The following is a 15,694-nucleotide window of genomic DNA, read 5'->3' as shown; positions in this document are numbered from 1 at the left end:
CCTGAATATAATTGTCCAAAATATAAATGGCAGCTGCAACTAAGTGTTAGAGGTAGAATTTAACTTCAGGCTGGCCTTATTAGAGAATTTCTTTCTCCTGTACCACATTGCTTTCTAGAGCGGTACCCATGGCATTCATAACTACTTTCTCCAAGATCTTATTCTTTCCTGATGCTGAGAAACTGCTAAAGAAGGAGCATGTTAAGAAGTAGAGCTCAGATAAATTGAGATACATTGATAGTGAGAGTATTGACTCTCACTATCCAAACATTCCATCTATTATAGTCTCACTGTACTAACTCAATAAAAGAACAGCATGGAAGCCTTAGAAACAGAAAGGTAGTGACCACCAAGAGTCACTTGTACGACGCTTATGATGTTCCATTCTGTAGATGCAACTTATGACTTCTTACAGTCAAAAACTCAACCTGTGCCTGCCTCTCATAGTCCAGGAAGGGTATCTGAGAAATGGCTAATGACAGTTTGGGAAAGAGATGAATCATCGCAGATGCCACAGTTGCCTTCCGATATTTGAACACTCAATGAAAGAGGAAATACCTCCTCTTTGACAGTGAAGAGACACTGAGGCAAATGTCTTAGCAGCAGGAAGGACTTTCTAAGTCCCAGAGCAGAATGTACCATTTTAGGAGATAGCAAGTGCTCTGACAAGCGTGGGCCAGCAGACCATTTGGCGGGGAAGCTGGAGATGTGAAGAGTTGGTCGTGTTGTGGGGTGGGTGGCTTTGGTAATCTCTGAGCATCTAAGATTTTCTGTGTGGCTTTATTTATTGTCAGGTAACCATAGATGTGATGCACTCATTTGAATCTTCTATTTTTTAAAGCTGTTTATTTGTCTCTAGTAAGCTTAGATTCATGTTAGAAATAAGTAAGAAAGCACTCCTATCACAGAGAGTGTTCCTGACTTTTGGGATCCTGTGTCTTAAACAATTAATATAAATGTGGTCTCTCATGAGCAACCTCTGATCATTGCCCTGTGTGTGGCAGATCATTAGGTGGCTGTGAATGACTATTTTAATGTCCTGAGTGGGCCCTGATAGTCATTTAAGAAATTTAGTACACAGGGATCTAGTCTTCCAAACCCTTTTTTCAGATGATTTAGGAAGCGTTTTATTCCTTACAATAAAATATAATGACTATATGAGTTTCTTTCTGCTTATCTTACACCTATTGCAATCTTGTCAGCTGTACATTTTGAACCAAATATTGTATATTCTGCCAGTTTTTAAAATTTATGTAGGACTCTTCTCATTTGGTGGAAAGCCTTGTTTTTCTGTAGGTCACCTGGAAGCCAGAGGAATTGATTTGGAAAGTGGCGGCTAGCTGAGTGCCACATTTATTTTATTTGGAGCAATAAACAAGACAGTGAGAGGTAGCTCCCCAGGGGACCCACTGAGATGGCCATGGGCATCCTGTGTGTGTGGCAGGCAGGGGAGGGGCATAGTGCCTATCTAATAGGACATAGGATGCAGTCCGTAACTGTGTGGCTTGCTGCTCTCCTCCCAAGGCTGTTCTCCTACAGCTCCATAGATTCTGGCCAACCCCTCATTCCTAGAATTTCTACCCTGTGTGCAGTTATTTACAAGCATTTTCCTGGCAAAAGAGTAAAGCATCATCTAGAGCTGCTGCCAACATTTCAAGAGACTGCAGTCACCATCACTTTCATCCTCATGTGTCTCCTTCATCGGTATCACTATGATATTGCAGTAACATTTGTTATTTATTACATACCACGCATTGTGTTATGTGCTTTACCTGCATTCCCTCTCTCATTCAATCCTCATGACAACCATTTAAAGTAAAAGTTATTATTATCCCCATTTACAAATGTGGAAACCAGGGTTCAGGCACATCATTTACTCATCCAAGGTCATGGAGTTAATAGGTGATGGAGTGGGGAAGAATCCAGGGCTGATGGTGGAGCCCCAGCTGTTGATTACTCTGTTGTCCTGCCCATTATTTTGCTCAATTAAATTGTTTAAAGCAAGGAGCTAAGTGTGTTTCATAGGCGTCGTTAGAAAATTTTAGTTCCATTTGACCCCCATCTTCTGTTGGCAGAGGCAGCACCATTGTGTGTGTTTGTGTGTGTGTGTGTGTGTGTGTGTGTGTGTGTGTGCGTGTGTGTGTGTACAAATTGTTGTGACTTTGTTAAGATGTTTCAGGTCCATCACTAAATGCCACAACCTCAGACAAGTTCAGCAACAACATATAGAGAGGTTTAGTTGTCCTCCTTGCTATTAAATGAAGTAAGTCAATAATGCCTATTTAGTTTCTGTGTTACTAAATAGCCCACTCTTGAATAACAATACCTCTAAAAATGCAGCCCTGTGGAATTCAGTAATGTGCTAGGTCATTTGAGAAGACATGTGTCTGAGTCTCTTCAGTCTTCCTGCTCTTCTAAAACAAAATATTATAAAGGAGATTGGAAAGATAATATTCAAATGTGATAGCCACGATCAGTAATTTAGATAACAGCTTCCTCATCCCTAGGAAGTAATTTGTACATGATGTGATCAAAACCTAATGAATAATGATTTGTGTGTGTGTGTGTGCTGTATGTGTTAATGTTTTTTAAAACTTCAGTTCAGGCATTGGAGGCCATAGTGGCTAAGCCCTCATTGTACCTGAGGGCTCACTAGGGAACAGAGTAGCTGAATGCCAGGGTTAGAGCTGGGGGATTCTGGGTCCTGCAGCTGGAAGGGCTAACAAGCAAGAAGGTAGACAGTAAGACTTTGTTTTGAAACAATTACAAACTTACAGAAAAGTTGCAAGAATTATACAGAGAACTTCTGTATACCCTTTACCCAAATACTTCGTTTTAAATATTTGCCACATTTATTTTATCACTCTCTACACACACACGCTTTCACTTTTTGGAACCATTTGAGAGTAGAATTCATACCTCGTGTTGTTCTTTATGGCTTTATACTTTAGTATATAAAATAGGAATACTCTGTTATATAACCACAGTATAGTAATCAAATTCAGGAAATACAGCATTGAAGCAACTTTTATCTATTCTACCTCCCATATTCAAATGCTGTCAGTTATCCCAATAATGCCTTTAGTACCATGTTGCCCCTTGAGTCAGTTTCATTGTCATTCCTCTTTTGCCTCCTTTAATTGGGAACAGTTCCTCAGCCTTTCTTTCTCTTTCGTCAAATTGACACTTTTGAATAGTATAGGCCAACTTGTAAAAATAAAATGTTTCTCATTCTGGGGTTGTCTGATGTTTGCTCATGATCAAATTCAGATTACATAGCCCTGGCTGGCATACACCAAAGGAGATGTTGTGTCTTTTTCAGCCTATTTTACCTAGAGGCACATGGTCCACCTGACTCTCACCAATAGTTAATTTTGATCACCTGATTAAGGTGCTGTCTAATTTTTCTGCTGTAGTGTTAACATTTTCCCCTGGAAAACCAATAAGCTTTGTTTTTAACCCTTTCCAGTCTTTGGGGATACAAAAACAAAACAAAACACTGATCACTGAGGATCTAGAAGCAAAGTGCAAGTGTCAAAAAATCCTGATGATAAGTCATAAAGTCATGAGACATTACAGTGGATAGGGGCCTTAGAATTGCCAGATGTGTGTGAATGGGAGTTAATTTTAATAGACTTAATTTTTTCTAGCAGTTTTAGGTCCATAGCAAAATTGAACCAAAAGTGCAGAGCTTTTATAAGCCCCCTGCTCCCATGTAGGCACCGTCCCCCCGCCATCAGCATCCCACACCAGAGTACTGCATCTCTTACAGTCAATGAACCTACGTGGACACATCATCATCCAGAGGCCTTAGTTTACATTAGCGTGTTCTACATGGCAAATGTGTTTTTTAAAAGTCAAGGTAGAATGTACATTTGCTATACTCAAAATATTCAGGGCTGTTACTTTGCTTGTTTCTTTTATAAGAGATATGTTTTTTTCTGTATTTTGTTTTTAATTATGCCTCCTTATTCCTTTTTATAATGATTCTATCTCTATAGTTTACTTCACTTTAAGGTCAGCTTTTAATATCATGTCAGCGGAGAGAGAGAAACTGAAGCAGCTGATGGAGCAGGATGCCTCCTCCTCCCCGTCTGCTCAGGTCATTGGTCTGAAGAACGCCCTGTCATCCGTAAGTTACATGTCTGCCTCCAGGAATGCCTGAGATGTGTCCAGGCTCATGAATGGTTTGTAATTTCTATTTCCATGATTATGTTGAAAATTCAGGAGAAAACCAAATTATCCAAATTATATTCTAACCTTTCATCAAATCTGCTTATTTGAAACACCAAAACTTACCTATCCAAGTCTTAATAGCTAGTATTTTATTAAGTGATACCTTCTTTAAGTTTGGTTTCCTCTGACTGATCTTAATTTTTTTGTTTCTCTAACATTTTTATTGTACGTTTTTGTGTGTATGTGTGCGTGTCTTACAGACATTTTTCTGTTAATGCTTACAAAATCTGACAGTTTGGAGGAAATTTTATGGGCATGAGACACCACAAGCTTAGCCTTACTTTCCAAATGACAGGTGGCAGAGTGAAATTTCCAATTCATGCTCTTATCTTCCCTATTGCAAAGCACTGATCCTGTTTACCACTCTTTCAAAGACATGAGAGCTATTTTGTTTGATGGGATAGTACAAGACATTTAGCTTCCCTGCCCTGCCCCCCTACTGTGGCTACAAAGAGATGAGTCACATGAAAGTGCCTGTCAGGCAATCACTATACCTTCATAGTAACAGGAAAATCACTGACAGGGTCCCAAATGATTCTCAGCCATTGTCACTCATTCTCTCTCCTTTTTTCATCAGTTTCAATTAATTCCTCAGAATAGTTAGGCTCCATTAAAGTGCCATGTCCTACCTCTATTTGAATAAAGTTATCTCGTTTTTTTTTTTTTACCCTGAATCTATCAGGAGGCTAGAGAACTTTTGAAATAGCATACTGATTTGCTTTTACTCTTTTCTTGTACTTTGGAATTCCTACTTTAGAAAGAGAAAGAGTGTGTGCACATATGAAATTGCCATCTGAAGCAATACTGAATTTTCTATTTCAGGTCAGGTAGGGGAGATAAATTTTAGGATCTTGTAACCAGAAGCCAACACAGGCATTGAGAGAACTAGAAAATGTTGATTCATATTTTCTATTTATCGTATTGCCAAGAAAAGTGATGCTCTTAATATAATGTTAGTGATAAATCCTCTGCCAGTAGCACATATAGTTGTTGTAGAATATGTAAGGAGTATTCACTGATGGACCATTACAAGTATGCTATCTTCAAAAGAAATTAAAAATAACATTGGCTTGCTCCATATATAAAGAAGAGTCTTAACGTTGTCTTAAGGTCACAGATAGAATCGCCCCCTTTTTATTGTACAAGACAGCCATACACTGGTGCCATTTTGGTTTGAGAGAAGCAGAAGCAAAGTGTTTTTGTTTTTTTTCCCTAACTTTCTTATTGTTCTCATTAAGCTAGCTTTTAGTGCATTTACAAAAGGTATCTCTGATGGGCTTCCAAGGTCCCTCTCCCCATGATCTTCCTCTCCCTGCCTCCTCCCACAGAGGCCTGGCCTCATCTTGTCAATCTGCCTGTTTGGCCACTGAGACCTATTTGGCTGTGGTATCCTAGGCCAAGGCTGTTCTCACCTTCACTAAGGAATTCATTCTCACCCATATTCACGATTTTGGAAACTTCAGATAAAACCGAATGATCCTTTCTTTCCTTTTTGGCTTGGATTCACAATTGGGGTTTAAGACTTGTTTTTTGAAAATAAAATTTTTAGAACCATATCAGAGTTATCAGAATGGGTATGTCGGTGCTGTATGCACAGTGTTGCCATGTTTTCTTCTTCTGCCTGTGGCTTACAAAGGAAAGAAAAACTAATAAAATAGCACAATTTTCAGGCTGTACTAAGATTCTAGCCTCCCTACCTCTGTCATTGGCCAGAATAAAGTTAGTGCTCCAGAGAGACTGTTATATGTGGCTGTGTGATCTTAGCTCTTGTGCAGTTTTTCTTAAGTGGTCCTCAAGGATTTTCAAATAACCCATATGCTCTGCAGGGACTGAAAAACAAAGCCAGCATCCCTGTTGGAGATCCAGGTAGAGGATTAGGCAGTACCACATCCTTCTATGCTTTCAGCAGGTCGGTCCTGCAGGCCCTGGTGGATGCAAAAGGCTCAGAGCTTCTTAGAAAAGAGTCAGAAAGACAGACATATAGGCTGAATCTGCATGCGAGCACCCGTGGAGCTGATCGTGTGAGTGTCTGGGAAGACAGTCAGGAGAACTTGTCCCCCTTCCACAGACAGACCATTGGAGAAGAGTTGGTCATGAAGTGCACAGGAGTATCAGCGTGAAGGAAACAGCTTCCTTTACCTTTCAGCCACTTTCCTCCTAGTTGAGAGGTTGAGATAAGGAATGATCCCTGCCCAGGGAAATATAAAGGAGGCCTGGGGGCATAGTCTCAGATTTGCTTTTCATCTCACATTTACCCATTCCCAGAGCCATGGTCCTTAAGCCCTTATGCAGGTAAGTGAGGCTTACTCATTTCTTTTTTGAAATAGATTGCCTTAGTCCTGAAGAATGAATAGAACAATCAATACCCATATTGGAAAAGAGTAAAATTAATCTTTCACAAAGTCCTACTTCCCAGCACACAGCACACTTTCTTTATTTCTTTTTTTTTTTTTCGTGAGACAGGGTCTCACTCTCACCCAGGCCGCAATCTCAGCTCGCTGCAACATCTGTCAGCCTCCCAGGTTCAAGCAATTCTCCCACCTCAGCCTCCCAAGTAGCTGGGACTACAGGTGTGTGCCACCATGCCCAACTAATTTTTGCATTTTTTGGTAGAGATGGGGTTTCACCATGTTGGCCAGGCTGTTCTCAAACTCCTGACCTCAAGTAATCTGCCCGCCTCCACCTCCCAAAGTGCTGGAATTACAGGTGTGAGCCACCTTGCCCGGCCTCCAGCACACTTTCTAAAATCTGATTCAATGGGTATGATAATTAAGTAACATTGAAATATGTCCAATCATAAGGGATGGGGCCAGCATATTCTTCAAAGCAGATAGAAGCCTGGATTCCTTAGGAAGGGATTTGGCCAAAGAGACTCCAGACAGTTGGGGAGGAGGAGGAGATGCTGTGGAACCACTGGTCTTAACAGAAGCCGACAGTGTCTGTGACTTCCCTCTCTGTTGCACTTACCAACCCTCCCTCCATGTCTGGAATGAGAAAAGAAAAAGAGCATCATTTCCAGAGCCCAGGTTTGTCATCTCCCAGGCATCTCAGAACCAGTATCCTCTTGGAGAGCATTCAAGGAAAAAGTCCAGAAAGTGCGCTGTCAGACCACGTCACTAAGAGTTTCATCAAGCTCTTAGAGATCGCTCCTGCAGGGCCCACTGCTGTGCTTTTCTGAAACATCCATTTATTAACAGAGCCCCACTATTTTAACATGTTCCAGGCCCTAGCACAAAACACAGATCTTAAAGAACGCTTACGCAGAATCCATGCCGAGTCTCTGCTCCTCGACTCCCCCGCTGTCGCCAAGTCGGGTGACAATCTGGCAGAGGTGGGTAGGTTTCTCGTCTGGTAATGTCTCCCCAGCTGCCGCCCGCTCCCGTGATACCATCTGTCCCATTGCACGACCTCCCTGCTTCCCCTCATGGGTGCTGTCCACCTCTCTGCCCTCCTCCTCTGGGTGCTGGCCACAGCTAGGTCATGGACTGGGGTCTCGGGCTCAAACGCTTTCTTGAGCGTATGCTGCTAATTGCATTTTTAAACTGCTTCCTTCCCCAGAACTCTCTTTTTTTTTTATATTTCTGTTTCGCTCCTAAATGTCACCCCTTTCACTAGTGGTACTGGAGTGGGAACTATAGAGAGATAAACATTTTCTCTTGTTACTACTGAAGAAACCTACGTTTCTCTGACCTGCAGTATCTTGGTTCCCTGCCAGCCTCCTTCCCCTCTAACCCTTTCTCTGTGGCTGTTCCCTTCTCCCTTTTCTGTGATTTTCTTTTTCTTTTATAGAATGCGGCTGTACACTCTGAGGGAAAAAAAATACTTCATTACAATTAAAGTGTCTCTTGGTCAGTTAAAAGTATGTTAAAAAAAAGTCTTTCTTCAAGACTAGGGATGTTTATCCAAAATAGTCTTTGCATGTTTAAAATGAGAAATTTCAGAAAAGTACAAGTAGGTTACTCAAAAAATAAGTAGGAAAGAGTAATGAAAGTAAAAACTGTTTTTAAGCTATTTTTTATATTAAATGCCTGCTTCAGATATGCTAAATTTTTATTAACAAATGAATTAGACTGAGTACACTTAAAATAAAAAATGTAAGGCAGGTAATAGACAAGAGGTGTGTGTTTATGTAAGTTTTTAAAAGAAGTTTGTAATGTTTAATCATAGTGTTTCGTCCTTCTTTTTCTGTCCTCAGAGAAAACAAACCCCTCACACACCTTCACTCCTTGGGAAGCCATTGTGCGGGGTGGTGAGGCGAGTTGAGGCTGAAGTCAGTCAGTACATGGACTGTAGGGCTCCGGGCACCGAACCCATTTGGAGACAAGATGGTGCCATGTGTGGACAGGCCCATCCACTCCCATGAGCCTCACCCTCTGTCTGGCAGAAGCTTGTGGGTCTCTTACTACTTCTGAGGCACATGCTAGTGGTTAAGTATGACATTCTTTTATAGAAGCGCTACCCACAAGAGGTCACTTTTCAGTTATGTTAGCCCAGACCTAAACTGTCACCTGCAGCATTGAGCACCTAAACATTACTTACGGCGCCTTGACCTTAGGCCTGGGCAGGCCCTCTTTTGAGTCTGCACATTGGCTAAAAACAGGACCCAGTCATGGCCAGGATCAGCCATTACTGACCAGCTGCCATGTACTATGGTATTATCTGGAGTTTGTGCATGTTTTCAGACAGTATTTACCTTTTAAATAGTATTATCACAATTTACTGATTTAACAGGTAGTTAAATACATAACGTTCATTTATGCTTTTATGAATTTATGCTTGGCATGTCTACTTGGAACTATTTGTGTTTTGGAAAGGAAACCAAAATCACAAGTCTTTTAAAATACATGTTTTTAAACTATATATTTAAAATGCATATTTTAAACTGATCTTAAAAGTAGCATACCTGAAAGCTGAAATGCTATACACTGTCCTTGAGAGGTAACAATAACATCCTTCAAATGCACACCTTCCAAAACAGCCTTCTTGAGTCTTGAATCAGTGATGCAGTTGTCACCTTATCTATTTCCTCTTTCAGAAATTTTCTGTTTCCCTTATTTTATCCCTTTTATCATGGAGTGACTCAGGCTTACTTTCCCAGCAAAGGTAAAGTTATTGTTGCCTTCAGGACATAAGTAGGAAAGTAAGTGAAAATGGCCTCCCAGACTGAAAACTTGACTCCAGTTAATTTTTTTTCGGTAACTCCCGGTTACCTCTGGTACTCTATTGGGAAATGACAGTCTCCACCAATGGGGTCAGCCCAAGGTGCTCTCCTTTTAGAACTCTCACTTTCTTTGCTCACTTCGTTTCCTTTTCTTTCTTTCTTTTTTTTTTTTTTTTTTTGAGACAGAGTCTCGCTCTGTCGCCCAGGCTGGAGTGCAGTGGCACCTTTTCGGCTCACTGCCAGCTCCGCCTCCCGGGTTCACGCCATTCTGCCTCAGCCTTCCCAGCAGCTGGGGCTACAGGCGCCTGCCACCATGCCCAGCTAATTTTTGTATTTTTAGTAGAGACAGGGTTTCACCATGTTAGCCAGGATGGTCTCGATCTCCTGACCTTGTGATCCACCCACCTCGGCCTCCCAAAGTGCTGGGATTAAAGGCATGAGCCACTGCGCCCGGCCTCGTTACCTTTTCTTTAGCCACACGTATTACCCATCTTTGGTGTTGGGCCTGGCTAATTGAATTCTAAAATGCCCACCTTTTTTAATATCAGAAATTACCCCCACAGCCTACCAAGTTCTCCTGTTTTATATTCCTGAATGTGAAGATTTAATATTATCAAGTTATCAGTTCTTTGATTATTTTAGATTCCAAATGAAAGGGCAAGTGACTTTGGGAGGTAACACCATACTACATCCAATGTCCATTTAAGAGACTAAAAAAGGCCAAAACTTTTAAAGAAAAGTCTGAAAGAGAAGGGAACTTAATTCTTTTAATGTCTGTTTGCTATATCGGCATGCATTTGAATACATTACCTCACAAAATCCTAACCATGACTCTATGAAGTAGGTGGTGATAGTTTCATTTGAGAAACAAGAGAACTAAAGCTCAGAGAGGTTAAATAACTTCCTCCAGACATACAGCTTGTAATAGACAGAGCTGAGATTTAAATTCACATCTAACGAGGCCAAAGCAATCCTTTTCTCAATAGTATACACTGCTATATAATGAAGAACGGTATGCCAAGCCAGAAAATAAAACACTCATTCAAGCTCCAGCAGTTAAAATAAGGGATGATGGGTAAGAATGGGACAGAATAACTCTCTCAAGCATAGATGTTATTTTGTATATAAAAGAAATAAAGATTATGGTTCAAAAAGGCATCAAAAGCCAATGGGAAAGGGGTGGATTATTCAATAAATTAGGTTGGCACAGCTCAAAGAAATTTATTACATTATTATAATTAATTACCATTATTTTGGAGACAGTCTTACTATGCTGCCCAGCCTGACCTTGAACTCTTGGGCTCAAGCCATCCTCCTGCTTTGGCCTCCCAAGTAGCTGGGATTATAGGCACTCACTACCCACCATGCCCTGCTGAAAGCAATTTAAAAAGAAGTTTAAATCTTCTCATTGCATGTTAAATGAATCAAAAGCAAATTCAAGTTAAATATAAAAATTCAAACTGAAAAATATTAATGTAAATATTTATCAAACTGCTAGAGTAGGGAAGATTTTCTAAATTGGGTTGCAATAGAAAAAAATTGCAAAAGGAATGTTGATTAGATCTATTTTTTTTTTTTTTTTAGGAAAAAGTGATGTGTGTCAAAACAATAAGGCAAATAATAGACTGGGAAAAATATTTTCAGTGAAATTGACAGACTGAGATAATGCTAAATCAATGATAATGTTTTTCATATGTAACCAATAAACAAATAATATCAAGTAACTTAAAACTTTAACAAGTAAATGGAAAAAGGCCATAATTCACACACACACACATACACACACACACACATACACACAAATACAGATAGGTATGGGTTTTCTTTTTTTTTTTTTTTTTTTTTTTTTTTTTTACTTATTTTGCAATATTTGTAAATTCACAGGAAAGTACAAAGAAATGCAGAGGGAGGTCCCATGCAGCCTTCATCCAGCCTCTCCCTAGAATAACATCTCTACAAGCTTGTTTTTTAAAAAGGAAAAACTATTCAGCCTAATGAAAATTAAAACAATTAGATTAGCTCAAAAGTTTTCTAAATTATGGTATGCAGTACCCTTAATGTAGAAAAAACAGAGGTTTCCTTACTTGTTGGTGTAATTAGGTAATATATATTTTGCCTTGCCTTGAAGGTTATTAATAATTCTTTGAAAAATTGATTCTGAGAAATAACATGATACAAGCAAAGACATATTTACAAACATACTAAACCATTTTCGCAAATCTGTAAACATTCTTAATTTTATTATTACTCTGTGACACTATATAATAAAATATTTATCAATTACAGTTCACTGTCTCAAAGAATTTTGAATGGTCTGGGAAAATATTAACAATATAATGGTTAGTGAATGGAGCAGACAATATGTAGACTGTTTATCCCAGTTTTTCAAAATAAAATTTGTACACAGATATTTTAATATGAAAATACCAGCAAGTTAATAGGGGCCACGTCCACTTCCACATTCATATCGACTTCAATGGGACTTGAAGTGATATTTATTTAATTTGCTTTTTTAAAATTTTCTATTTTGAATACCTATTTTTATTTTCAGAATACAGTTTAATTTTGAAAAAAAACTATCTTGCAATGTTATTTGGGCGAACTTTATAAAATTACATACATAGAGATATGAAAATAGCATGATTACAATTACTGCACAAGAAATGTGTCAGAATGCTTGTAGTGGTTGTTATAGTGTGAGCTATGAATGTTCCTTTCCCTCCCTTTTCTCTGTTTATTTAATTTAGGGGTTTCCAATCTTTTGGCTTCTCTAGGCCACATTGGAAGAAGAAGAATTGTTGTGGGCTACACATAAGATACACTAACACTAATGATAGCTGATGAGCCAGAAAAAAAAAAAATCACAAAAAAAATCTCATAATATTTTAACAAAGTTTACAAATTTGTGTTGGGCCACATTCAAAGCCATCCTGGGCCATATGTGGCGCCCGGGCTGTAGGTTGGCCACGCTTGATTTAACTTTTTGTAATGCAAACAATAGATAAGCAACCAGTCATGCATTACATATGTGAAAGGAAATTACTGAATTGAACTGACTGGGTTAATATTTTAGCAAATGAGGTCCTGAGTTGTTTAAGGCACCATGCTGTAGACTTGGGGTGCAGCAGTGCTGGTGAGTTTACAGTACATATAAGAAGATGCCAGAAAGGGCTAGGGGCTAGGAATATTATTTTCAGTGTTGGTCAGCCAGGAAATCTTTGGACCCATCAGTCTAGGAGGAGGAAGATACAGAGATGGCAGGAGTGACTAGTAATAAATTAATGAGTAGAACAAGTAAATAAATGATGAGCATCTTTTGTGGCAGGAGCACACGGAAGACACAGGACTATTCTCTTGTTTGAGTGAGTGTTGAAGCTATTCCTTACGATGTTTTCAAGCTCAATAGCTTTATGCCTGGCTCTTTTGAGGAGAGAGACCTTTTCCTTGAAGTTAACAGCTGTGATACTTATAGATTCTAAAGTGATCTCTTTGTTAGGGTAGAGAAGAGGCTTGGTTTTCAGAAGGCTACATGGGTATTAAAATGGGTAGGATTGTTAATACCTTGGGCAGATGCCTTATTTAGGAAAGGGATATCTATTTCAACAGTTTGTAGATACATATTAATAAACTGAAGCAAGCAATTTGTAAAGGGACCACTTGCCTTTTATTAATTACGAAAATCTGCTGTGGCCCTCCTGTCATAGCATCCCCTCCCTATGAGACTGAGGGGTATATCCTGAATTCAGACAATTTCTGGGCAAGATATAATCTGCCTTTTCCCCAAATTATTCTGGATGATGTGGAAGCAACTCCTTTGTTAGCCCAATAAAAAATACGAGTGGTTTTACTACTACCTGTCTACTCTGATTGAAAGAAATCAAATCATCCTGTCCTGAATCTGTTCTTTTTCCTCAAGTGCCACTTCTATGAAGCCCTCCTCAAACAAAATCTCCCTAATCAGAATCAGTCTCTCCACTTTGCCAGCACTTTGTCTATTCCACAGGCCTGGTCTGATGTGCGTTGGATGCGTTCTCTCACCATTCATTCAGTCCACAAACCTTGTCTGGTTCATTGTTATATCCTGCCATGGCCAGCTCAGGACTTAAGTCCTCCCCAGAGGGAAAGTCCAGACCCAGTGGAGTGGAGAATGGAGGGTCATGCGAGATAAGAAAACAATGATGTTCTGTTGTGTTATTTGTACAGAGGCTTATAAAGAGGACTGGGGACTTCCTTTCCTTGCAGTCATTGTAGGTGGAAAGAGACAGACAAAGAGAACTTACATCATTCATCCATGAATAGTAAATGATCTGCCACCAGGGTGCTTCTGGACCAAAACACACTGTGTATTTGTCAAGGGACACCTCAAAAGCAGCATATTGTTCCCTCAGAGAGCATAGGGGCAGAAGAAAGCTATGTTGCTCTGAACCAGCCATGCAAGGACATGAATTCAGTGCAATGCAGAGGAGATTTTAGTATAAAAAGAAACATCCAGCAGTGGTAGCGAATAAGAGGATATGATTCAGAGAGCACTGGAATTTTTCCCCTTTTAAATGGAACAAAGAGTGACCTGGACAGTTGTTTTTTGCCTTGTGATTTGTTGCATGTGTGTGAGAAGTGATAGTGCCTGTAAGTGAGGTGCCCATATTGGGGGAGAACTTTTGTGTTTTGCATGAGGCTCGCATCTCAGTGTTGGAGCTGACTTCTGCTTTGAGTTGCTTATTTGCATGGGCCTGTGACCTTGTGTATTGTACAACTAAATCATTTATTTTCTTTCTCTTGAGAATGTTTTTAAATGTATACATTTTTGGTTTTGTTCTTCAAATAGGAAAACTCCAGAGATGAAAACCGAGCTCTAGTTCATCAGCTTTCTAATGAAAGTAGACTCTCCATCACTGACTCCCTTTCTGAGTTTTTTGATGCTCAGGAAGTTCTGTTATCTCCAAGCTCTTCAGAAAACGAGGTTTGAGCAATGTTTACAGTATGGTGCCTCAAAAATCTCTCTTGTTGCTTTGCTGATTAATCTGTTCAGTAAATAATCCATCATCAGAAACACTAAACTCAGTTGCCCTTTGTAGTCATTATGTTCTGAGAGTTCTCCCATAACTCATACCCAAAAAGTATAAAATGATACTATATGTGAGAAGAAAAAGTAAAAGTAGAGAGCATTGGATATTTTCTCATTTCTGTAACTTGATATGTTAAATTTGTTATACTTTTTTTTTTTTTTAAACAGAGCCTCGCTCTGTTGTCCAGGCTGAAGTGCAGTGGTGCAATCTCAGCTCACTGCAACCTCCGGCTCCCAGGTTCAAGTGATTCTCCAGCCTCAGCCTACCAGGTAGCTGGGACTACAGGCACGTGCCACCGTGTCTGGCTAATTTTTGTGTTTTTAGTAGAGACCAGGGTTTCACCATGTTGGCCACGCTGGTCTCAAACTCGTACTCCTGACTTCAGGTGATCCGCCTGCCTCAGCCACCCAAAGTGCTGGGATTACAGGCGTGAGCCACTGTGCCTGGCCTCTTTTTTTTTTTTTTTTTTTTTTTTTTTGAGACATAGTCTCATTCTGTTGGCCAGGCTGGAGTGCAGTGGTGTGATATCTGCTCACTGCAACCTCTGCCTCCCAGGTTCAAGCAATTCTCGTACTTCAGCCTCCCAAGTATCTGGGAATACAGGCGTGCGCCCCATGCCCAGCCAATTTTTGTATTTTTAGTAGAGATGGGCTTCCGCATGTTGGCCAGGCTGACCTCGAACTCCTAGCCTCAAGTGATCCATCCGCCTCAGCCTCTCAAAGTGCTATACTTCTTTTCAAGTACAGGTTAATAGTTTTGACTTCTACCTATTTAATAATGTGTCTACTATAGAGAAGGAAATTAGCATCCCGTATATTTTTTAATCATGGAATTTGACATATTGATTTATAATATATAATTATATTTTTATGATAATATGGTTATTGTAATATTGGTTTATAGCATTATTTGTTTTAAATTGATGCATAAAAATTATCCTTTCCTGAATAAGAGTTATTATAGTTAACAGTGTGTACTAATAATGTTACCCCTTAAATACAGACTTAGTCATTTTGTTTATGTATTAATTCCCATAGAAGATACTTTTTACACAAATAGCTCAAAGACAAATTGTAACTTCTTCTACTCAAACACTAATAAATTCTAAAAATGCAGTCAGAATTAATAAGAATCTTTATAATAACAGTCTTGAGCTTGCTTGCTGTTTTCCTTGTGAGAACTAATTCGGAATGTGTAAGAATTTTAAGAACAGGTGTTTGTTGTGAACACC

The 15,694-nt window shown here is 39.5% G+C and overlaps 1 protein-coding gene across 43 annotated transcripts in view, besides 1 other annotated feature; it reads left to right on the top strand.

Annotated features, from left to right (window-relative positions):
• Nucleotides 1–15,694, top strand: part of OSBPL3 (oxysterol binding protein like 3) — a 185,309-nt gene that overhangs the window by 125,210 nt on the left and 44,405 nt on the right. For 29 of the 43 annotated variants that reach the window (NR_104112.1, NR_104111.1, XR_007060001.1 and 26 more), the window contains 3 exons: nt 4,002–4,132; nt 7,460–7,567; nt 14,223–14,357. Coding sequence is in view for 34 of the 43 variants with exons in the window: in XM_047420146.1 (XP_047276102.1) it covers nt 4,002–4,132; nt 7,460–7,567; nt 14,223–14,357 (374 nt within the window). In the remaining 9 variants the exon portion in view is untranslated. The remainder of the gene's footprint in view (nt 1–4,001; nt 4,133–7,459; nt 7,568–14,222; nt 14,358–15,694) is intronic. The other 14 variants (XR_007060007.1, XR_007060005.1, XR_007060006.1 and 11 more) reach the window with 2 other exon arrangements.
• Nucleotides 13,467–13,536: an enhancer, noted in NCBI's record as "active region_25758". NCBI's record gives its function as "activates an Ori minimal core promoter by ATAC-STARR-seq in GM12878 lymphoblastoid cells {active_cell/tissue: GM12878}" and the evidence as "EXISTENCE:reporter gene assay evidence [ECO:0000049][PMID:35858748]".

This window comes from Homo sapiens, chromosome 7 (assembly GCF_000001405.40).
Source record: "Homo sapiens chromosome 7, GRCh38.p14 Primary Assembly".
Lineage (NCBI taxonomy): Eukaryota > Metazoa > Chordata > Mammalia > Primates > Hominidae > Homo > Homo sapiens.
Note: the sequence above shows the minus strand (reverse complement) of the source record. Positions and strands in the feature narration are given on the sequence as shown.